Raw genomic sequence first — 23,982 nt, 5'->3', positions numbered from 1 at the left:
TTGTATTGATCTTTGCAAGGAGTAGCAGAGCCTAAAGTATTAAGCCAATGGAAACATTTTTTAAGTGAAATACTATATGATAGGTGTAGCCCTCATATAATCAGCAAACATCTAATATTGGAAATGTGACAGAATTCAGGTGCCCATGAGAAGGCTCTCTAGGCATTTACACTATTGGCAACCTTTTTTCATTGCCTCCACCACCACCACCAAATAACCATGAATTTCCTGCTAAGACTAACCAAGCATTTCCCCCTTTGCTTGCTCATTGTCTCTTTAGTACAGCACAGTAATGATTAGAACACTACTACTACTAAGCAGTAGTAGTAGTAGTAGTTAACATTTAGTGAGGACTTACTATATGCCAAGCACTATTGCTATAAGGTTCATATCCATTGCCTCTTTGATTCTCATAACAACTTTATAGAGTCGATATTATCTTTATTATAGACGAAGAAATGGAGAAGACTAGTGGGAGACTTGTAGTAAATGGCAGGGCTGGGATTCAAATCCTGACTTCAGGCTATGAAGTCCATGTATCTAACTGCCATGTAGAGTACCACTCCACAATCCTCCACTTAGAATGCAAAATTTCTTCACAATAGTATGTTCTGTCCTCAGTCTGCAGATTTCATATCCACAGGTCAGTTACAGAACCCAATCTCATTAATTAAACAGCCTGAAGCAGCATAACTCATCTATCTGATACAGGTCTTTCCCAAGGCAGCTGGCTCATTCCATTAGCCCAGATTCCAGGAACAATTTCAGAGTCCTTCTTTGATCTCTAATTCCTTCTTTTTTTTGACTCCACACCAGATAACGTGCTCAGTTCTCTGGGGAATGACACTTCCCATTTGTTAATAAAAGGCAATGAGAAAACACAGATCTATATATAGATTTGCACCGGAGTCATTTCCTAATATATCCTTCTCTATATTGAAGTATACCTGTGGACTACTTGGCATACATAACTTTTGCACTTTTGTATTTCTTCCCATCTCCATTGAATATTCTTCTTAGTGAGATTATTAGGGGCTCCTGAGTGACCATTTGTCATGAATGCTTTAAAATTCACTTGCTTGAAGGCAGAGGGCCTGGATAAGACAGTCTCTTGAAATTCTTTTCAGCTCTACTATTGTGTGATTTCCCAGGGCAATGCTAAAAAAATTGCGGTTGAAAATTTTGCTTGTCCTGCCCTTCCAATCCTTGTCCCACTTGTGACAATGCTACAACCTTGCCACACCCCACTGGAGCATGATGGAGAAAGTGAGGTGGGATGTCTGACAGACAGAGCACAATTAATCTTGTTTTGTTCACTTCACATAAGTCCAGGTCCCAAGAAAAACATAATCCTCTCAATAAATAGAAAGTATGACAACAAAAAGTTACAGTAGCAAGAAGAAACGGTTTCCTTGAACGTATTCTGCCTAGGGATTTATAATAAAGTATCACATTCTAATTCTTTCCTTCAAAAGTTTGAGCATCAAAAAAAAAAAAAAAAACCATGAACCAGTTTGAGCACCTATGGTGTGCGTGACATTGTTCTAGGCATTGTGGACATAGTCATACAAAAAGGGGTTTAGCAGAGGGGTTTAGTAGAGAAGGACTTCAGTTTACTAGATAAGGTAGACAAGTTAAATAACATGCACAGATGTATTAGGCCATTTTTGCATTACTATTACTATAAAGTAATACCTGAGACTGTGAGACTGGGTGATTTACTAATAAAAAGAGGCTTAATTGGCTCACAGTTCTACTGGCTGTACAAGCATGGTACCTACATCTGCTTGGCTTCTGGGAAGGGCCTCAGGAAGCTTAAAATCATGCTGGAAGGTGGAGTGGGAGTAGGCACATCACATGGTGAGAAAGGGAGCAAGGAAGAGGAGAAGAGGTGCCACACACTTTTAAACAACCAGACCTCATGAGAACTCACTATCTTAAGGACAACATCAAGCCATTAATGAGGGATCTGCCCCCATGACTCAAACACCTTCCACCAGGCCCCACCTCCAACATTGGGGATTATGTTTTAACATGAGATTTGGAGGGGACAAACATCAGAACTATATCAGTAGAGTACAGTGTGTTATAGTTAAGTGCAGTGACAGGAGTAAGCATAGAATTTTATAGGAACACCAAAGAGCATATATTTCAGACCTGGCAAAGAATAGTTAAGGAAAGTTTTTTGGAGTAGGTGACACTCAAGTTGAAAAAAAAAGTAGAAGTTAAACTAAACTGGGTTGGTGGTGGCCTTTGAGGTAGTAAGTATTGAAATGAGAGGAGAAACTGAAGAAACACTAAGAAGGTAGAATCTATAAGATTTGGTGTTAGCGAGGTCAGGAGTTCGAGTCCAGCCTGGATAACATGGTGAAACCCCGTCTCTACTAAAAATACAAAAATTAGCTGGGCATGGTGGCGGGCGCCTGTAATCCCAGCTACTCAGGAGGCTGAGGCAGGAGAATCGCTTGAAACCAGAAGGCAGAGGTTGCAGTGAGCCGAGATGATGCCACTGCACTCCAGCCTGGGTGAAAGAGTGAAACTCTGTGTCAAAAAAAAAAAAAAAAAAAAGATTTGGTGTTAGAATGTGAGTGGGGAGGAAGTGAGAAGGAGTAATCTAGAACAATTCCACTTCTGGCTTAGATAAGTAAATGAATGGTAGTAGTACTCACTGAGATGAACAGGGGAGGAAAAGCAGGTTTGGGGTAGGAAGGTGATAAATGCAGTTTAGGATAAATTGATTTCAAGTTGCCTATGCTATACTCAAAAGATTTCCAATAGAAATACTACTGGAGCTCAGCAGATATGGGATACAGGAAAGAGGTCTGAACTGTATATACTGTAGATCTTGGCTTCAAAATCATTCCTACATAGATGACAGTTAAAAGCCATGAATTTAAAAGAGATCACACTGGGAGAATATATAAACTAACAAGAGAAAAGAAGGCAAGAGTGTAGACCTAGGAAATAGTGTGTCATGTGTCACTTAACAGCAGGGATACATTCTGAGAAATATGTCATTTGGTTATTTTGTCATTGTGTGAACATCATAGAGTATATTTACACAAATCTGGATGGTATAGCCTACTACACAGGTATAGCCTATTGCTCCTAGGCTACAAACCTGTGTAACATGTTACTATACTGAACACTGTACATAATATTCATAAAGTCATAGATAATTGTAACACAATAGTAAATATTTGTATATCTAAACATATGCAAACATAGAAAAGGTAATGCATTGTACTACAATGTTACAACAGCTATGAGATGTCACTAGACAATAAAAATTGTTCACCTCCATTATAATCTTACGGGACCACCCTCATTGTACATGTGCTTCATCATTGACAGAAACATCATTATGTGGCACATGACTGTAACAACATTTAAGAGATACGTAGGAAAGAACCTTCTAAAAGAACTTGGGAAGGAATAGTCAGAGAAGTAGGAAAAAAAAATAAGAAAGCCTATTGCCATGGAAACCAAAAGAGGAGAGGGTTCAAAAAATAAGGAGGCCGGGCATGGTAGCTCATGTCTGTAATCCCAGCACTCTGGGAGGCCGAGGTGGGCGAATCACTTGAGGTCAGGAGTTCGTGACCAGCCTGGCCAACATGGGGAAACTCCATCTCTATTAAAAAAAATAATAAAAAAATTATCCGGGCATGGTGGTGCAAGCCTGTAATGTCAGCTACTTAGGGGGCTGATGCGGAAGGATCACTTTAGCCCAGGAGATGGAGGTCGCAGTGAGCCGAGATCATGCCACCGCACTCCCGCCTGGGCAACAGAGTGAGACCCTGCCTCAGGATAAAATAAAAATAAAGAACTACAACACATAGAATGGGAGAAAATATTTGCAAATTTTATCTCTAATAAGGGTTTAGTATGCAGAATACATTAAGAACTCTTGCAATTCAAAAATTAAAAGGCATATAATGCAATTTAGAAATGGACAAAGGATTTGGATAGACATTTCTTCAAAGATATACAAACGGCCAATATGTATATGAAAAAATGCTCAATATCATTAGTCTTTAGGGAAATGCAAATCAAAACAATTAGATATCACCTTATGCTCAGTAAGATGGCTATAATAAAAAAGATCACAACAAGCGTTGGCAGGGATGTGGAGAAACTGGAACCCTTATACACTGCTGGTGACAATGTAATATGGTTCAACAATTGTGAAAAACAGCTTGGTGGTTCCTCAATAAGTTAAACATAGAATTAACATAGGACCCAGCAATTCCACCACTAGGTATATACCCCAAATGAATGGAAAACAGGTGTTTAAACAAAAACCTGTACACCTCCATGTTCATAGCAGCATTATTCATAATACCCCAAGGTGGAAACAACTCAAATGTTCATCAATAGACAAAATAGATAAATAAAAGGTGGTATATCCATACAATGGAATTTTATTCACCTGTAAAAGGGAAAAAGGACGGATACATGTTCCAGCATGGATGAATTTTGAAAATATTATGCTAAGTGAAGAAGGCCAGACACATAAAGCCACATATTACATGATTCCATTTATATGACATGTCCAGCATAGGTAAATCCATAGCGGCAGAAAGTAGATTAGTGGTTGATAGAGGATGGGGGAAAGGAGGAATTGGGGAATGACTGCTAATGGATACAGTTTCTTTGGGGGGCAATGAAAATGTTCTTGGATTAGACAATGGTCACAGTTGCACAACTCTGTGAATATACTAAAAACTAGTGTTTTGTACACTTTAAAAGGATGAATTTTAAGTTATGTAAATTATATCTCAATTACAAAATTCTAAAACAAAATTGAAACTTCATAATAAATATTCACTGAGGAACATTAATCATTGAAATAACTATCCCCAGTAAATTCATAATGTCAAGTGGCTTTCTCTGCTTATTATCAAAAATTTTAAATAATAAAATAAAGGACTTGACAGATAAGTGAAATATGATTAGAATAAATGTGTCCCGTTAAATTTTACAATATGAAGGTCACTGGTGAGCAAGCACAAACTCCTGGGAGGAGGACACAGAAGCTGAACCACAGGAGGATTAGGTATCAATGAGTGGTTAAAACGTAAAGACAGCAAGTTTATTCCACTCTTTTCAGAAGCTTAACTATTTACAGAAGTAGGAAAGGGTAGTTTTAGGAAGATTTGGGTCAAAAAAGGTCCCCCCCAAAGATGAGATGTGAGCATGACTACATGCTAAGAGGAAAAAAAGAAGTTTGAGAGAGATCCAAGATACAGGATAGGAAGAAAATGACTAAGAGAAAGGACCATGAGATAGTAAGCGGGGAGAAGATCCAAAGCTCAGATAAAAGGACTGGTCTTGAACCAAAGGAACACATTTCCTCTATGGAGACAGGAGCACAAGAGTGGGGGCAAATGGAGTAAAATCCATAGGTGGTATTATAGTTAGTGAGGGGAATGGATTTGCAGATGATGTCACAGATAGTCTTGATTGTTTTCAGTGAAGTAGGAATTGGGTTTTAACAGCTGAAAGTGAAGTATGTCTTAGAGCAGGAGGTCTGAGGACCAAAGTGAGAGTACAGAATTGCTGCTGAGTTCAGAAGATCAAGCTAATTCAGTCCACAGAAAGAAAGATTGCTAGGTAACTAAGTATCCAGCAGAGGTTGGGGCCTGAATTTGTAGTGGCTGTAATTGGTTATTCTCTGCAGTCCTATTCAACAGTCTTTCATGTAGAACTGATAAAGCCAAATGGTAGGGCTAATCCTAGACTGAGGTTTTGTTAAGACAGGGGGACCTGGGGACAGAGAGTCAAGAGACTTGAGGTAATTGCAAGAGGGTGATTGGAGCAATGGGCCAAAGGATATAGACTGTAAGACAAAAAGTCAAGCCAGCCCCACAAGAGAATGTAGGTTGGTTGACCATACATCACATGGCTACTGCTCTTTGATTTTACTGGGGTAGTAAGTAGAAGGACTTGACCCCTTTGGCTTCTCTTGTGGGATACAGGCACCTAGATTTCCTATTACACCATCCAATAATGGAAAGGGACTACTCCAAAAAGAAACTGCAATGGTATTAGGAAAAGGAAATGAAAGCTAGGTAGCCAATAAATGACAAATAAACCACAATTTCATATTATAAGGTAGCATACTATCACAAGAACTGTCATAAGAGGATATATAGTTATAGGCCAAATAAGTAAGGTCCATGGGCTCTAAGCCTTTATCCAAACTCACCCTCTACTCTACTCCACTCTACTATTTCCAAGTCTTTGCTGATGCTGCTAACCACTGCCCAGAATGCTAATTCCCAATTTCAGCCTTCTCTAATGTGAGGAACTTATTTTATCTTTCTGTCTCCTACAATGCCAGGTATAGTGTCTGGCATATCATAAATGCAGATGTGGTTCAGATGAAATAGAAAAAATATTACTAAGGTTTAAGCTATTAGGAAAGGCTTCACAGGAAAGTATAACATTTAAGCTTGTCCTTAGAGACAAAGGAGTATTCTACCACAAAAAAAAAAAGAAAAAAAAAAGATTTTAACAGGGGGAATGACACAGTGGCAATGAAGGTAGGAATGTGCAGTAAGAAAACCAATCTATATATAACCGGGGGTTCTTGTTGGAAACAGTACATAATACTGGCAAGCCAACACTGATGTAGGTCTTGAATTTGGCATCTGGACTATATTCATTAGGCCAGTGATTCTCAAGGAGCGGGGTGTGGAGCAGGAAAAACTGAAAAAAAAGCATCAGGAATTCTTTTTTTTTTTTTTTTTTGACACGGAGTCTCGCTCTGTCACCCAGGCTGGAGTGCAGTGGTGCGATCTTGGCTCACTGCAACCTCCACCTCTTGGGCTCAAGCTGATTCTCCTGCCTCAGCCTCCCAAGTAGCTAGGATTACAGGTGCGTGCCACCACACCCAGTTGATTTTTGTATTTTTAGTAGAGACGGGGTTTCACCACGTTGGTCAGGCTGGTCTCGAACTCCTGACCTCAGGTGATCCACCCACCTCAGTCTTCCAAAATGCTGGGATTACAGGTGTGAGCCACCGTGCCTGGCCAGCATCAGGAATTCTATTTAGCTGCAATGATAAATTGTTAGTGTTTGAAGAGAACTTATAGATCACCAACTTCAATCTCCAACATTTTGCAGATAAGTAAACAGAGAGCCAGAAAGATGAAATGACCTACCTAAGGTGAACCAACTTAACTAGAAGAGAATAACTAAACGCAGACCTGGGACCAGTACTACTGTATCCCAATTTCCAATCCAGTTATCCCTCTACAACTTGTGGAAATAAATTGTCAGAGGGCCAGGCTGAAAGAAAGCATTTGTAAATGCAAAAAGGGAGTATAACATAAAAGCACGATTTGAAAAAATGCAGTACCATTACCAACCCCTGTGAATTTATGTCAACAGACAGGGCAACTATATGGAAAATATAAGGTAGTAATTAGAAAAAAAGTTTTACATAATTAACGAGACAAAGAGACAGATTTATCAAATAGTCCTCTAAGAAATAACCACAAGACTTTATATTTTTCACACATATTTGTGTTTGATCCTCAAAAAGACAGTGCGAAGGAGACAGGGAAGGTACTGTCTTTCCCATTTTACAAATAAGGACACTGAAATATGCTAGTTGGTTAAGAGCCAGAACTTATTCCAGTACTCTTTCTACAACCTCCAGGATAAGAAAGATATCCAAAACAGACCAAAATAAGCATGAGGCACTCTGGTTTAGCAGGTGGGAGCCAGACTTTCTGAATGAATAGGTAAAGTCAGGGGCTGAGAAGAAAATGGGTTAACTGGAAATGTAAGAGTGTAGTTTATGAAACAGTAGTACTACTTGGTCTTATGTCCTGAACTATGAATCACATTTCTCCTAGAAATTAAATGCTAGAATTCTAGCATTTAATACTTATACGCAAACACAAAGAAACACAAGTCAGTCCCTCCATTTTCTCCCCCTCCCCTTCCTTGACTCCCTCACACAGACAAACACAGACACGTACATAACCACAACCTGGGCTTTTCCCTAAACCTTTATTATTTGGAACACCGGCATATTTTGCACTATACAAGACAAACAGAGAGAGTCCTGACCTTAAGGGCTTTCCCACATTTACACGTTTAAATGAGTTACTGTTAAAAATACAAACAAGAGGGTTAGGGAACTTTGATATACGATGGGGGTGTATGGGGTTTGTGACTTGAAAAGAAACTTGGGTATGGAGCCTCTCGTGACCTGGCACGTGAGTTAGAATCTGAAAGCCAAGAAGTTGAGGTACCTTCAGTATTCAGGGAGAAATGAATTCCGAAAGCATTTTGAAGGTAAGGACTTGCTGTATTGAGGAAATCAAGAGGTATACAGCAGGTCAAAGTGGAATATGAATACTTGTTATGTGGAAGGCTTTTAAAGATCTGAAGGAGGGAAAGGAACTGAGGAAGGAAGCTCTAGAGTCTAAGAAACTTTCTGTGAGGGTGCTTGACCTTAAGCAGGGCTCTAAAAGCAAAGAAGCCCTACTGACAGACTCCATTAATAATCACCAGATCCTTAAGGTAGCATGATAATCCTCACAATCAATGTGTACAACTATATTTTAGAGTCCGATATTAGGGGGAATGTTTCAATACCTTAAGATTCACTTTGGTATTTAATTAAAAGAGTACAGTTAGCGTTGTAGGTATAAGAGCTATAAAGGAATGTAACACTCAGTCTCTGTCTTCAAAAACCTTCACATCAAGTTAAGGAAACAAGAACACCTACAACACAGCACAGTGCTGAATGAGGAATTTAGGGTGCTGGGATGGATAGATGGGCAAGGAAGAATGCACACAAGAGTTAAGGTTTAAGTTGAGCTTTGAAGGACCTGGAGGGGTCCAAGAGACAGGTTGGAGGAAAGAACATTCTTCTTCGGGGGAACAGGTAAACAAACAAAGGCCAGAACGCGGCCTGTCAGTGGACCAGTCTGGATAAAACAAGATTCAAACAGAGAATAAAAAGAAGAGTGACAGAGTAGTTCAAACCCAATTGCAAAGGGGCTTAGAATGCCAGTTTAAGAAGTCTGAACTTTATTCTACGGGCAGTAGGGAGATGTCAAGGTTTCTGAGGAGGAAGTGACATAACAAAATAACTCTGGAAGAAAAATAATCTAGCTGAGGTATATATATGGAACAGAGAACAAAGCAACTCTCAGCTACACAACCACTGTAGGAGTGAGGTAATAAGGAGCTGAGAAAGAGTCACAGATTTTCATTGTTGGGAGGCACCTTGAAGATCATCTAAGCCAAATACAGCCAGAGTGATAGCAGTGAGACTAGAAAGAAAGGGAGTCATGCAAGAGACATCATGAACAATATAAATCAACATCACAAAGTAGGAGTCAACTTAACAATTGATTGCTATATATAGGTAGCAAGGACAAGGGAGAAGTAAAAATATAAGGCCTTCCAAGTTTTATGCATAAGTGATTGAGAGCATGAAACCAGGGTTTACTTTTATAAAATTTGGTGTGTGTGGTGGGAAGGGGAAGAATGAAGATAAGTTCAGTTTAGCTTACTAAATTTGAGATGTCAGCTGGGAATCCAAACAGAAACAAGCTGCACCAAAGGATTTGTCTAATGTCATTAAGGATGAAGTAGGTTTGTGCTCCTTCATTGGTTCTGTTAGCTGAATCTGTCTTGAGGATACAATCCCCCTACTAGCATTATCTCATACCAAATAGGGACTCAATGGAGTGGGGGTTGAGTCGAAAGAACTCCTGAAAGCTACTCTTTGCCCTTCTTTCCCTCAGTCTGACTAGTTGTGGCAGGTGTTAAGGTCCATCCTTACAGAAGAAACTCTCAGAGTTTCCCCAACATTTAGACTACATAGCAAAAGTGCTTTCGCAGCATGCAATTTTTCTAGGTACAGAGCCTTGTGGATTGATCCAAAACTCTTACTTATGTCCAAGCTTTCATTGTCCTTGTAGGCCACTGGTGTGGCAGGATGAAGTAAGAATAACAATCCACAAACCACAGAATAAAATTCAGAAGTAATTTCTTTTTGAAAATCAATTTCATTGCGGCTGTTTGGTTTCAATCCCTGCTATATGCCATCACGCCAATAAAAACTACTCTTCATCTCTGAAGTGCAGGCCCACTGACAGGTGGATATACATGGAGAAAATTACTCAACAGCCTATTATTTTAAAGTGGTTTCAGCAGCTAGCACCAAGAGAAGTCACCAGGAAGCCACAAGAGACAGGAAACCACCCTCCTTTCTTGGCTATTCCAAGCACACAGCACTATCATCTGGCTGAGGAAATGGCAACTGAAATCTAATCCCTCTCTCCCCAGAGTTTATGAATTGATTTTCCAAATGGTATTCCACAGTGGTGTTCATTAAGCATTCACTACCACCCAAGCTCAGGTCTAGTGGTCTTCAAAAGTAGCTTCAGTAACACAGGTGATACAGACCTAATAATCTGTAACAGGGAAGCTGAAGTTAGGCATGGGGAACCAAATCTTATCTTCTTTATGCTTTTATTTCTTCCTTTAGAGCAGTACGTTCTCAAATGGAGATGAGCATCAGCATCACCTGAAAAACCTTTTTATAAACTATATATGCCCATGGTCTCACTCTAAAGATTCTAATGATGTATGTCTGGGTGTGGCCAGGGACCTGTGTATCTTGAAAAAGTTCTCCAGGTAAGACTAATATGCATCCCTGGTTAAGAACCACTGCCACGGATGATCTGTATGATATATTTTAACCCTACAATTCTGAAAAAAATTCTAAGTAGGATCTGGGAATAGCTAGCTAGCTATTTCTATCAGAGAGAATAAGAGTAAGAAGCAGAGAGAGAGGCAGGGAGGCAGAAAGGGAGAGGGATGTAGAGAGGAAAAAAGGGAAAGCGAGGAAGACAGAGATGATTCTGGGCCAAGATTCTTGATTACTGCCCACTCTAGTGCAAGTACCTATTGGGTCCCACATGCACCCTGAGTTCTGACCATACTAAGCCATTCACAATTCCATAAATCACAGAGTCTCAATTTGCAGTGCTTGGCAAAATCACCCATAGGGCTTTGTCAAATTATATACGACTAGACTCCCATCCTTGAAGCTTCTAATTCAATTGATTCTGCACTGGGACCCTGGACACATCTGTTAGAGGGAGAAATCTCTGAAGTAAATCGAATAGCCTTGAAGATTCTCTTCCTCTAAAGATAGGTATCATTCAGAAACAACCAACGCCCCTTACACATTTATTCACCATCTTCTATGTGCCAGACACTTAAAAAAAACTACTTTATATAGATATAATTCACATACTGTAGAATTCATCCATTTTAAGTGTACAATTCAATAATTTCTAGTAACTTTACAGAATTGTGTAACTTCATGATATCTCTTGCATCATTTCCTTTATTTCGTTCCACTGCTATAACCCTGGCTGTGGTAAATCAGTTTTAGAATATTTTCATCCCCAATAAGTGCCCTTATGCCCATATTCAGTTAATCCTAATTCCTACCCCCTGCCCCAGGCATCCAGTAATCTAATTTTTGTCTCTATATATTTGCCTATTCTGGACATTTCATATAAATGGAATCATACAATGTGGTTTTTTTGTGACTAACTTCCTTCACTTAGCATAATATATTTGAGGCTCAGCCATGTTGTAGCATTATTCATAATTCATTCCTTTTAATGGCTGAAAAATATTGCATTGTATAGAATATTATATCACATTATACCACATCAGACATTGGAGCTGTTTTACTTTTTGACTATTATGAATAATGCTGCTATGAACATTCAATGTAGAGGCTTTTGTGTGAACATACGTTTTCAATTATCTTAGGTATATGCCTAGGAGTGGAAATGCTGGGTCATATTGTAATTCTATGTTAACTTATTGAGGAACTGACAAACTGTTTTACAAAACAGCTGAATCATTTTACATTTCCACTAGCAATGTATGAGAGTTTCCATTTCTCCACATCTCCACTTCTTATTGTCTTTTTCATTATAGCCAGTCTAGTGGGTGTGAAATGGTATCTCACTGTGGTTTTAATTTAAATTTCTGTAATGGATAATGATGTCGAACATGTTTTCATGTATTTATTTAGCCATTTGTGTATCTTCATTTGTGGTATAATATCTGTTCATATCTTTTGCTCATTTTTTTGTTTGGTTTGTCTTATTATTACATTCCAAGAATCCTTTGTAAATTCCTTTGAATATAAGTTATTTACCAGATATATGTTTTCCAAAGATTTTCTCCTAGTCTGTTGCATTTCTTTTCATTTTTCAAGGTTTTCTTTTGAAAAAAAAAAAAAGTTTCTTTCCAAAACGGTTCATTTCTTTTTTAGACTATGTGTTTGGTGTCATATCTAATAAATCTTTGCTCTGCAAGATCTTAAGGATTTTCTATGTTTTCTTCTAAACATTTTATTGTTTTGGTACTTACATTTAAGCCTATGATCCATTTTGAGTTCATTTTTGGGGTATGGTCTCTAGTGAGTATCTAAGTTCATCTTTTTTGCATGTGGATATCCAATTTTCCCAACATCATTTATTGAACAGGGTATCTTTTCCCCCCAACTAATCATCTTGGTACTTTTGTCAAAAATCAATTGATTATAAATATAAGAGTTTATTTTTGACCTCTCAGTCCTGTTCCATTGATATATATGCCTGTCCTCATGCCAGAACCACCCTGTCTTGATAATAGTAGCTTCATACAAACTAGGTTTTCTTATTCCTGGATGTACCATGTTCTCTTTCATCTCCAGGCCTTTGCACTTGCTGTTCCTACTGCCTAAAACAGTCTTATCCTAGATAATTCTTACTTACTTTTTAGGTTTAAGCTCAGAAGATGCTTTGTCAAGAACATGTTCCTTGATTTCAAAAGTCATGGTCAGGCACTCCTCCTTAGTGCTCTACATCATCCTATGATTAACCCTACCATTGCTTTATGAAATTGTATTATATGTGCCTGTTCACTTGTCTGTATGCTCCACAATGGCAGGAATCCCCTCTAATCTGTTCAACAGCTGCATCTCCATTGTTTTGTACAGTGCATGATACACAGGAGATGATCAATAAACATTTGTTGAAGAAATGATAAGCTGATTCTGCTTCTAGTAATGGAAGCAAAAGTAATTTGGGCTAAATTTCCTGCTTAAAAAAACACAAGAAAATTGGGGCAAGATATAAATGATATATGTTTGAAGATATCTGAGATCTAACAAAGTAATGCAATACTATAAAGCCAAAATGCAGGATAAAAAGAAAACTGAGAGAGGCTGTTTTTCTCCTAAGGTCATTGGCTGATATAGTAGAGTCAGCTGAGAGAGAGAGAGAGAGAGAGAGAGAGAGAGGAGCTTCTGACAGACTCATGAAGCTACAAGAACAAAAATTGGAATTAAGGACCCTTCAAAGAGGGAGAACTCCCAAGGGGAAAAAAAAACCCAAGCTTTGGGTTTCAACTTAGAAGGCATAAATACTAAAAGGAAGGGTAAGTCAACCTTCACTTGGATTGAAGGGCAGCTTTAAATTATCTCAGTCTCATATTGAATTAAGGAGATGTGAGATTGCTAGTGTCTCTAACCACGTGCCAGAAGTGAGTATAAATCCTTTCTAGATAAAGATAAAAATAACTGAGGTCTCAAACCATCTCTACTATAATCTTTCATATATAATGTCTACCATTCAATCAAAACTAACCAGGAGAAAGGTAAAGTGATAGAAAATTAAGACAAACAATAGACAATAGAAACGTACCCTCAAGGATTGAAATAATGAGTAATCAAATGAAGATTTTCAAATAATTATGGCCAGTATGTTAAAAGATATTTTGGCAGAGTTTGGCTGAGAACCAAACACTATCTTATAAAAAGAACCAAATGAAAATTCTAAAAATAAAAAACATGACAAATAATATTAAGAACTCAATGAGTGAGTTTAAAGGGAGTTTAGACAAAGCTGAAGACAGAATTAATGAATTGGAAGTTAAGTCACAGGAAAATATCCAGAATGTAAGATTCTAAAAATATGCATCCATGTGTTCTTCTAGGATGTCTGTGACTTCATGTTTTACATGTAAATCTTTGTTCCATCTGGAATTTATTTTGGTATAAGAGGTGAGATAAGGATCCAGTTTTACTTGTCTTTTTTTTTAAACCCCCAAAATGGCAAGTCAGTAAATCCCAATACTACTTATTGAATTAATCTACCTTTCATGGGAGTCCTTTAAATAGAAACTTCTCCATGCACATTTTAAATGGTCCAGTTGATACAAGTTCTATATATGGTTTATAAAATTCCTATTTAAAACACAGTTCCAGAAATAGCTATATGATTGCAGACAGTTATTTAACCCCTCTGGGTCTGCTTCTCCACATGTAAAAATAGAGACACGGCAATATCTACCTTGCATTGTTCCTGTGAAGATTTTTTGAAAATAAAGTATGTAGATGCAACTGTCTCAAAAAAAAAAAAAGAAAAAAAAGAAAATACCTAGAATGAAGTATAGAGAGAAAAAGAAGGATAGAATACAGAGAAAAGTATGTAACAGACATAAAGGATGCTGAGAAAATGTCTAAAATAGGTTTGCTATGGTCTGAATGTTTGTGTTCCCCCCAAAATTCATATGTTGAAATATCATCACCAATGTGATGGTATTTGATGAGGCTTTTAGGGGGCAATTAAATAATGAGGGCAGAGCCCTTGTAAATGAGATTAATGTCCTTATAAAATAGGTCCAAGGAAGTGCATTTATCCCTTCCACCACGTGAGGATACAGCAAGAGTGTGTCATTCTATGGATCAAGAAGAAGGCACTCACCAAACACCAAATCTGCTGGGCATGTTCATGGATTGGAAAACTGAATACCATAAAATGGTGAGTTCCCTCTAAATTGATTTTTAGATGCAATGCAATCCCAATAAAAATCTCAGCACGTTTCTTTTTTGTGGAACATGACAAGCTGATTCTAAATGCAAAGGGCCAAGAATATCCAAGATACTTTTAAATAAGAGGAACAAGGTGAAAGGAGTTGCTTTACCAGGTAATAATAAAGTCCAGTAATTAAGATTGTGGTAGTGATGTAATGACAAAGAGACCAACAGAATAGAATAAACAGTTCAGAAACAATCTTGCATATATACAGGCACCTGATTTATGACAAAGGTGATGCTATAGAGGACTGGGGGAAAGACAGTCCTTATAATTAATGGTACTGGATCAGTTGGATATCTATATTTTAAAAAATGAAGCTTAGTTTCTGTATCTTAGCATACACAAAAATCGATTTCAAGTGGAGTATAGACCTAAATGTAAATGTCAAAAACATAAAGCTTCTAGAAGATAATATGGGAGAATATCTACAATTTCAAGGTAAGAAAATATTTCTTAAATGGGACACAGAAAACACTATCCATAAAGGAAAATACTAAAAAATTAAACACATTAAAATTAAAAACTTCTGTTCATCAAAGGATACCATAAAGAAAGGTAAATCACAGATTTGGGAATGGCTTACAACATAAAAAATACAAAAATAGTTCATATTCAGAGTATATAAAGAATTCCTACAAATCTATAAGAAAAAGACAGACTAATAGAAAAATGGGCAAAAAACTTGTATAGGCATTTCACAGAAGATATGCAAATGCATAATAAACATGAAAAAGAGCACAACCTCATCAGTCTTCTGAGAAATGCCAATTAAAATCAACGGATATTACTACAAAGCCACCCACCAGAACAGCTATGGCTAAAAAGACTGGCAATACCAAGTGTTAGTAAGAATGTGAAACAGCTGAAATTCTCATACATTGCTGGTGAGCATGTAAATTGATACAATGACTTAGAAAAACTGTCATTATCAATAATGTCAAAAATATGCATCCTCCATGACCCAGCAACTCTGATCTATACAAGCAATAGAAATTCAAGCATATGTAACCAAAAGACATGTATAATAATATTCACAACATCAGCATCCGTAATAGCCCCAGACTGGAAACAATCCACAAATTCATTAAAAATAGAGTAAATAGACTGTGGTATATTCGAGCAACGAAATAATATACAAAAATACAAATAAATGGCTGGGCATGGTGGTTCACATCTGTAATCCCATCACTTTGGTACACTGAGGTGGGAGTATTGCTTCAGGCCAGGAGTTCAAGACCAGTCTGGGCAACATAGAGAGATCCTGTCTCTATAAAAAAATTAAAAATGAGCCTATAAAAAATTAAAAATGAGGCATGGTGGCATGTGCCTGTGGTCCCAGCTACTCAAAAAGCTGAGGTTGGAAGATCGCTTGTTCCTGGGAGGTTATGGCTGCAGTGAGCTGTGATCATGCCACTGCACTCCAACCTGGGTGACAGAGCAAGACTCTGTCTCACACACACAAAAAATACAAATAAAAAACTACAGCCACAAGCAACAACCTGAATGGATGTCACGAAAACAGTATTGAGCAAAAAACACCAGATCCAAAAGAATACACACTGTTTGATTTCATTTATATAAAGTTCAAAATGAACAAAACTAATAAACTAATCCAACTAGCACTATGTCAGGCACTATGGAGAAAGATAAAAAAACTAATCTATGATGTCAGAACTTGAGAGAGTGAGGAGGATATAGTGATAACAATAGGGTGTAAGGAGGAGTTGTGGCATATAATAATGTTCTATTTCTTGACCTGGGTGCTGGTGACGTGAGTATATTCACTTTGTAATGATTCATCAAATTGTACAAATATGATTTATATACTTTTCTGTGTATGAGTTATACTTCAATAGAAAAGATTTTTAATAAAAGAAAGAAATGAAATGAAAAGCTAAGTCCTGAGTATTTACAGAGGAGTTAGATAAAATGGTCCTCTACAGGCAAGGTGGTTTCTCTTGGTAATGTTCTTGGGAATTAAATGGCTTCAGAGGTTCTTTACTTTAAAGAGATCTTCTCTATAAGGTAGTTACAGATAAATTACAGATTATTTTTTCACAAGATCTAAGATAGAAAGAAAGACATGAGACCTAAAAGCAAATAAAACAAAACATCAAACAATATATTACAGGAAGCTTTTTGCACCATTTTAGAGAGAAGGTGTGAAACTGGGAGACTGACCACGTGGTTAAGGCTCTTCTCCATTTCACTTTCTAATTATTCTAGAAATCAGTGAAACATTTCCAGTGGAACTATTTACTCACCTAAGCATAGCTGACAGGTCACAGGCTTAGCAAGACCTGAGGAAAACAGGCCTGTTATAGAAAGAGAAAATGTCTTTGTTTCACATAAACACCTCCAAAGTCCCAAAATAATATTCAACTCAACAAGTATTTGAGTACAGTAACTGTAACTAGCACTGTGTCAGGCATTATGGAGAAAGACAAAAATGAAGGCAGATTTCTAAGGAGCTCTAATGTAAAGACATAAAATGTATTTGAAAACAACAGCAATAACAACTAAAGAATGATTCTAAGACAGGATATGATGGGTGGGTTGCAGCAGAGTTAGTGAGAGAGAAAATGCGATGGGAATAATGAAGCAAGTTGATCAAAAGTTCTGTATTCAAACCCACAGTAAAGGTATTTTATCTAGATCCCACCTCCCTAAAAAAAAAAATCCTTGGATTTATTCATTGTGCTCACCTTGAATCACCTCGAATGATTCCTAGTTATGTTCTTGATCGAAGAGCCTTAACACAGGTAATGTCAACTCTGGATACACTAATGGTCTATCTAGTTATGTCAAGCAATGTTTTGTAGAACTTTAAGGTTGACATCTATGACATCACTTCAAATAATTAGGAACATACTCCAAATAGCCCTAACAGTTCTAAGTAAATCTGTATTGATCTACCCATAATTTTGACTATTACTTGAGACAATGAGTTGAATAAGATACTACCTTTATTTGCCTCCTCTTGAAAATAATTTTTCAAACATTAAAAGGTGTCTAATACTTAACATTGTGTCTGGCACAGCAGGCTTTCTATTTATTGAACTGGATTGTTACGTTACACCAATATATTAATCATATTCATCTCGCTCATGGTTTGGTAGACTTTGATCATATTCCTCCTTCAACCTCTTTCTATCCAGACTGAAAAACCAACTAGAAAATCCCTTCATCCTTTTGATCAATTTAATGGGGTTTTTGAGGACTTTTATCAGCTGTTAGGCTTTTCTTGAGGAGCAGCCACCAGAATTTCCTGTCTGATTGTAGAAGCCAATCTGCTTTTGATCTTGTACATGGAAAAAATAAGTGTTTTGTAAGTGGTTTGTTTTGTTGTTTTTGACACCCTTCCTGATGATACCCACTACATTCTTGGCCTTTGAGGACCACAATCACAACCGGCGCAACATCTCCACAGAATGATCAACAGTGATTTTTAGTTTTTTACTCTGACGATCATATTACTGTATATTGTCCTAATTCAGACACAAATGAGATATCCCTTGCTCTTGAGATAATCTCCACCAACTATCCAGACAAATCTCAGCTACTTGGTTGCTCCAGCTGAAGGAGATGATTGATTACGGAAGGTCTGATGTGACTCTCTCACTTCATCATCAGCAAGTGTGTCCCCACCAGGGAGACTTTTCTAACATTTCACATGGAGAACTGTGCTGATCTCTCTGCTCTGTATCCTACCTGCCCTAACTTCCTTGTGTGCCCTGCTTAAAAAGTTTTTAAATTGACAGATGATATACATACATCTACAGTGATTTCCAGGTCCCTTTCTTGAGTCATAACTGAGAGCCCAGAGCCCATCATCTCATAAGTATGGATAGGTTTACTTTTGCCTACCTGCATGAAGTGTCTCTGACTGTTCTGCCCACTTGGTCTCATGAGAGCTTCCTGCAGTTTACTCTCATCAGCTTGCCTTCACTCCTTACAGATAAACTGGTAAGAAACCTGAATGTACTGCCCGTTGAAGGGTGTATATTTTTATCTTTCTTCCTCTCCATCCAAGATTTGCTGTAACAGCAGTTGTTTGTGTTTAAAAACTAAAATATAAAAATATGACCTACGTGGCCAAATCCCACAAGGCTGTTTACTTCCTTATTTACTGAATCAGAATCTGTCAGCACAATGTAGAATTCTGAGTGTCAGCAGATACTGAAAATTAAATGTCACTGTAAAGCCAGCAGAGGGTGCACCAGGGCACTAGAAATTTTAACCAAGCTTGTAGCAGTATTAATTTAATACCCAATCAACTTTTTTAAAAAGTTATTTTTGTATACTAAAACTAATATACAAGATAAGATAAACTTAAGTTGAACAACTTAAAATAAACAAGTTGAATTTGGGCTAAAATTCCTTCAAAGTATACTCCAAATCTGAAAGTGAAGTTCAGGAAGAATAAGGAACACACGGTTAAACTTACTGTGGTCAAAATACAGGCAGAGTAGAACAAAATGATGCAGAGCTGAGCCCTCTACTTTGCAAAAGTTCTAATGTGGAGCTCCATCTTGCTCCCTCGCAAAAGGTCCCAGGAGGTAGTTGGGGGAATGGGCACCCAACTAGGAGTTAGAGCAACTATCATCCCAGTTTTGACTCTAGTTATGTGACCTTGGGCAAGTCACTTTCCCTTTAGGGCCTATGTTTCCCAAGGGAATCAAACGAAATGGACTCATATAAGCCCTTCATAACTCTAGGAAACTGATTCCAATTGATGTCAACAAATGTAAAGAGCTAGTATCCTTGCTTCTATTGCTCAAAAATATTAAAACAGAAAGAATAAAAGACAGAAGATAGGAAGCTGTGTTTAAATCTAGACAGAACTATTTTAGTGCCACACAAAGGGTAGGTAACTAAATGCCATTATACACCTGTAAGAGTTTCATGCCATCACAGAAACCTTACAGTACAGCTGTTCTGCTAATCCTCAGTCTATAAAAATGGCTCTGTCCATCCTGAATGCCAAAAAGTATTGGCCAACATTTGATTAAAGAAGTTTAATTCTTTCATCTTTTCACAGAATATCAATGTTCAGCTGCTAAATACTTCTGCTGGGCATTGGGGTGTGGGGGGAGTGGCAGTAGATAAATAAAGGAGTCAGAATCCTAGTTAATTATCGTTTAGCTACAATGTTTAAAGTTTCAAGTATGAGAAGCATGTCTGCTGATTCTCTTCTTTGATAAGCTGTTATATAAATTGGAGTGTGCTAGTAAGACATTTTAAGGCTCAGGGCAACTTTACAATGCACATCTTTTTTTTTTTTTTTAAGTATCAGTCCTAACATTACACTATTATCATGAATATGATGTCTCTATCAAGCGTACCACTTTAGATGGGAGGTCAAAGTGGCACAAATAATGTTTACAGAGTTGTGACAATGACTCTGGATGTGGCAGTAAATATAGAAGGCTTGGGTCCCTCACCTCAAGGAACTTATTTGTACAACTTGCTCTCTTCCCTAAGAGGTACAATTTTATTATTATTCTTTAGCCACCTCGAAAGGATCCTTGGATGCTTCTCCTAAGTTTCACATATGGCAACCAAGACAGTATTTACGTTAAGTGAACGAAATTTACTTGAATAAAAAGCTAGAAAGAATAGAATAGAAAACAAACACCAAAGCTAATAGTTTGCTTATTAGGGCACAAACACCATAAAGATTGCAAAAACAAACAAAACTGCTCTTGGGGGACGAGTCCTGAGTAATTATTCCATTGGCAGATTCCCGTTCTCAAGCTAACAGTAGTAAAAGCGCTTCCCACCCACCCTTCCCACCGCACACCTACCCCGCTTAAGAATCAGAACCGGCATGCAAAGGGTGAGTTTTATTTCCATAGATTTTTAAAATTGCTGTTCAGAAGTTGTCTAGCAAGACGGCATATTTCTACCAGAATTCCTCAGGGGCGCTGATCCTCACTAGAACGCCGAGGACAATCAGTCTCAAATTGCAGGTAAGTGTGAACAAGCCCACGTTCTGGTCAGCGCACAAGGACCCGCGCTGAAAATGCGGTTAAAAGTTGTTTCAACGGGCGGGCGTGGAACAGTTATTACAGCTGTTTACAGCTCCAACTCCAAAGGGGAGCCTGCTGGTTCTGGCATCAGCTCTAGACACGAAAAAACAAGCACCGCGGGCAGAGAACCTCATCACGAGCAGAAGGGCCAAGCCGTTAGTCGGCCGGGGGGCAGCGCAGGCACCTCCTCGACGGGAGCGTCGCCAACTTTTCTCGAGGCAGCCCGCAGCCAGGGGCCGCGGGCGCGCGCGAGACTTTCCAAGTCAAGGGGTCCCCAGGGAGTCTGGATTAGCTGGGCCAGGGACCGAAGACAACCTGCCCTGGGCAACTTCTCCCTTGCTCGCCTGGTCCCTCCCTGGTCCTGCCCTCTAAATTGGCTCGAGGTTGCTGAGTGCTCCCAGGCCCCTGTGGCGGAGGGCCCTCGCCCTACCCGCGAGGGGAGGGGGCCGCCGCCGCCCCTACTAGGTGACTCACCTGGTGCCCGTCCTGGGAGTCAGAGTGGAGTGCGGCTTCTCCCGGTTCCAATGGCTGCTGCTTAGGTGACGGCTGCCCAAGGTGACTGGTGATGGGGCTGTCAGGGTCGAGGCCACCGAGGCTGCTTAGGGTGCCAGAGGTGCCAGGGGTGCCCGAGCCGCCAAGGCGGGACTCGGCTCCACGTTCCCGCCGCAACTCCGAGCGCAACTCTAGGTAGCAGCACAACGTCAGCAGGTGGAGGGCCAGCGAGAGGCCAAAGAAACCCAGGAAGAGCAGGCAGCTGTTCCCTTCGCCCGCCCGGGCAGGGGCCCCGCCACACCCGCAGCCCTGGCTCCCTCGCTCCCGCGGCGCTGCTGCAGGCAGGAGTTCCCTGCGCTCCACCTCCGGGTAGCCCATGGCCTCCGGAGACACCCACTCTCTTGAGGCCCGGGAGCCGCTGCGTCTGCCTCAGCCGTTCACGACCTCTGACAGGCGGCTACTGTCCTGCCATCGGCTGGGGGCTGCAGGGACCCGTTCCTGCGCGACAGTGGCTGGGCGGGACGGAGCAGGGAGCAGCCGCATGTGCAGCTCTACTCCGAGGGGTGGGAAAGGGAGGAGGAGGGGCGGGAGAGAGGGGAGGCTCGGCCCGCCGAGGGAATGAAGGAGGAGGTCCCGGCCGACCCCGCCCCATCCCTCAAGCGGCTGCCGGGACGCCCAACCACGGGGCCGCCAAGCCTTGGCGCCCCGCCCCGTGCCGTTCCAGCCGGGCCTCCAGCCGCGGGGCGGGGCCTGGGGGCGTGAGGGTTCGCCTCTGCCTGGCCGCCCCACCCAGCTCTTCCCGCTTGCCCCGTACCAGTTGGTGACTGGCGCTGTCGTTCATCCCTGGGCTCCGCCCCAGTTTAACCCTATAGCGCCAGTACGGGGAGGAAAGGAGGGGGAGGCTAAGAATTTGGGAACCTTGGAAAGAAAGTAGAGCAAAGAAAAGGAGGCAGAAACTAGCATTAATAGAAATGTTTGCAATTAACTGCAGTTGTTAATAACATCATCCAGTACTTATCTGTTGCTTCCAATCTTCAAAGCGTTTAACAGACGTTAAACTAATTAAAACAGCTCTGGGTTTGGAATGAAACCATGCCTGCTGTGTTTGCAATTCAATGGCTCGCCCGAAGAAAAGGAGACCCAGGAGCCTGGGAACTATGGGAATGGGTGGGACTCAAGCAGCCTCACTCCTGGAGTGACTCTGAAGGCTCAATCTAAGTAACAGAGAAGCCGCCCCATGCCAAGCGGAACTGAAATGATGTTGTCCCTTGAAGGGTAAAACAGTCTCCTAGGATTTCTTGATATATTAATTAATTCAACAAATATCTATCGATCCCTGTACAATGCAAAAAATGCTGTATGAGAGCATCCACAGCCAGAATAGATTTCTTCCACTGCAGCAGTTTTGATTGGAGAACGTATGTCTTCAGTGAGTAGACAGGGAAACCGAGGGCCAGAATGAAGTGGATTTGTACAAGTGTGGTCCACAGAATGGCCAGACACTACTGGCATCTTTATTTACAGGCAACTGTTCTGGCCTCTCCACCCCTCCCATCCTTCTCCTGGAGTACTCCCTGGGGGAAGTTCAACAAGTCAGCCAAATGTTCCAGATGTACACTGCTGCAACTGCAGCATCTTCAACAGCTGCACCAATCAGAAACGGGTTCAGATAAAAAAAAAAAAGTGGCAAAAGGCAGAACAATAGACCCTGAAATGAAGGATGGAAAGGATTAAATCAAGAGTCACAATTGACAAGAGTTACTAGTCTGAGATTATAGAAAGCGAAATGACCATAGCAGGGGAACCATGTATGCTTCATAGTCACTACGCACTCTCATTCCGTGTTATTGAGTAATGAATAATTAACAATTTTATTGACTTGCAGCAGGCATCTTGAGTGTCATCATGGAGGCTCAGCAATGCCGGGGGCACTTATGTGTAGGCCTAAGACCTAGGCTGGTGGAAGAGAAGAAAAACATAGATAGAAATAGAAAAGAAGACAAAATAAGAGAAATAAAACACAAAACCAAAAGCATCTGCTGGCAGGTCAGTCCAGAGAGCACAGAGGTCATAAGCCTTAAATATATTAGCCACAGACAACTTTTCTCTGTACACTTTGTGAATGGTCTCAGTGCTTCAAAAACATCTTTGTGTCGTCTCTTTAACCCCTACCCATGAAATATAAAGTTCACAAAGAATATCATCATCCTAGAGCTAAGGGGAAAAAAGGTGTTTAACAGCTGCTCTCAAGTCCTGCTTGTCCAGTCCAGGAATTCTAGATGCTAGGAAAACTGCCAGGCTGATTTACTTTAATTATCACAGCCCGGGATTATTGGAAAGAATGCTAGACCAGGAGTCAGGAGACTTCATCCTGCCACTAGGTTGCTGGGTCCCTCTGAGCAAGTCACTGTGCTTTTTCAGGGCCTTAGTTTCTCCGGCAGTAAAATGAGGAGTTTGAACTTTAACAGCCTTTACACTGTGTTTTGTCTGTGTTGTCACTGGCCATGTTGACTTTCTTGCATACACAGTTTAAA

At 39.9% G+C, this 23,982-nt stretch overlaps 1 protein-coding gene across 10 annotated transcripts in view, besides 1 other annotated feature; it reads right to left on the bottom strand.

The window, feature by feature from the left end:
- The window catches only part of EDA (ectodysplasin A), a 423,360-nt gene extending 401,338 nt beyond the window's left edge, over positions 1–22,022 (bottom strand). For 8 of the 10 annotated variants that reach the window (NM_001399.5, NM_001005609.2, NM_001440762.1 and 5 more), the window contains exon 1: positions 21,431–22,022. In NM_001399.5, coding sequence (NP_001390.1) covers positions 21,431–21,826 — 396 coding nt within the window. In that variant the 5' untranslated portion in view covers positions 21,827–22,022. Of the gene's footprint in view, positions 1–1,474; positions 21,050–21,430 lie in introns of those variants that run through there. The other 2 variants (XR_001755660.2, XM_017029337.2) reach the window with 2 other exon arrangements.
- Positions 22,075–22,194: a silencer, noted in NCBI's record as "silent region_20888". NCBI's record gives its function as "represses an Ori minimal core promoter by ATAC-STARR-seq in GM12878 lymphoblastoid cells {active_cell/tissue: GM12878}" and the evidence as "EXISTENCE:reporter gene assay evidence [ECO:0000049][PMID:35858748]".

Source organism: Homo sapiens, chromosome X (assembly GCF_000001405.40).
Source record: "Homo sapiens chromosome X, GRCh38.p14 Primary Assembly".
Classification (NCBI taxonomy): domain Eukaryota; kingdom Metazoa; phylum Chordata; class Mammalia; order Primates; family Hominidae; genus Homo; species Homo sapiens.
The sequence above is the reverse complement of the archived record's forward strand: the minus strand, read 5'-3'. Positions and strand labels throughout refer to the sequence as shown.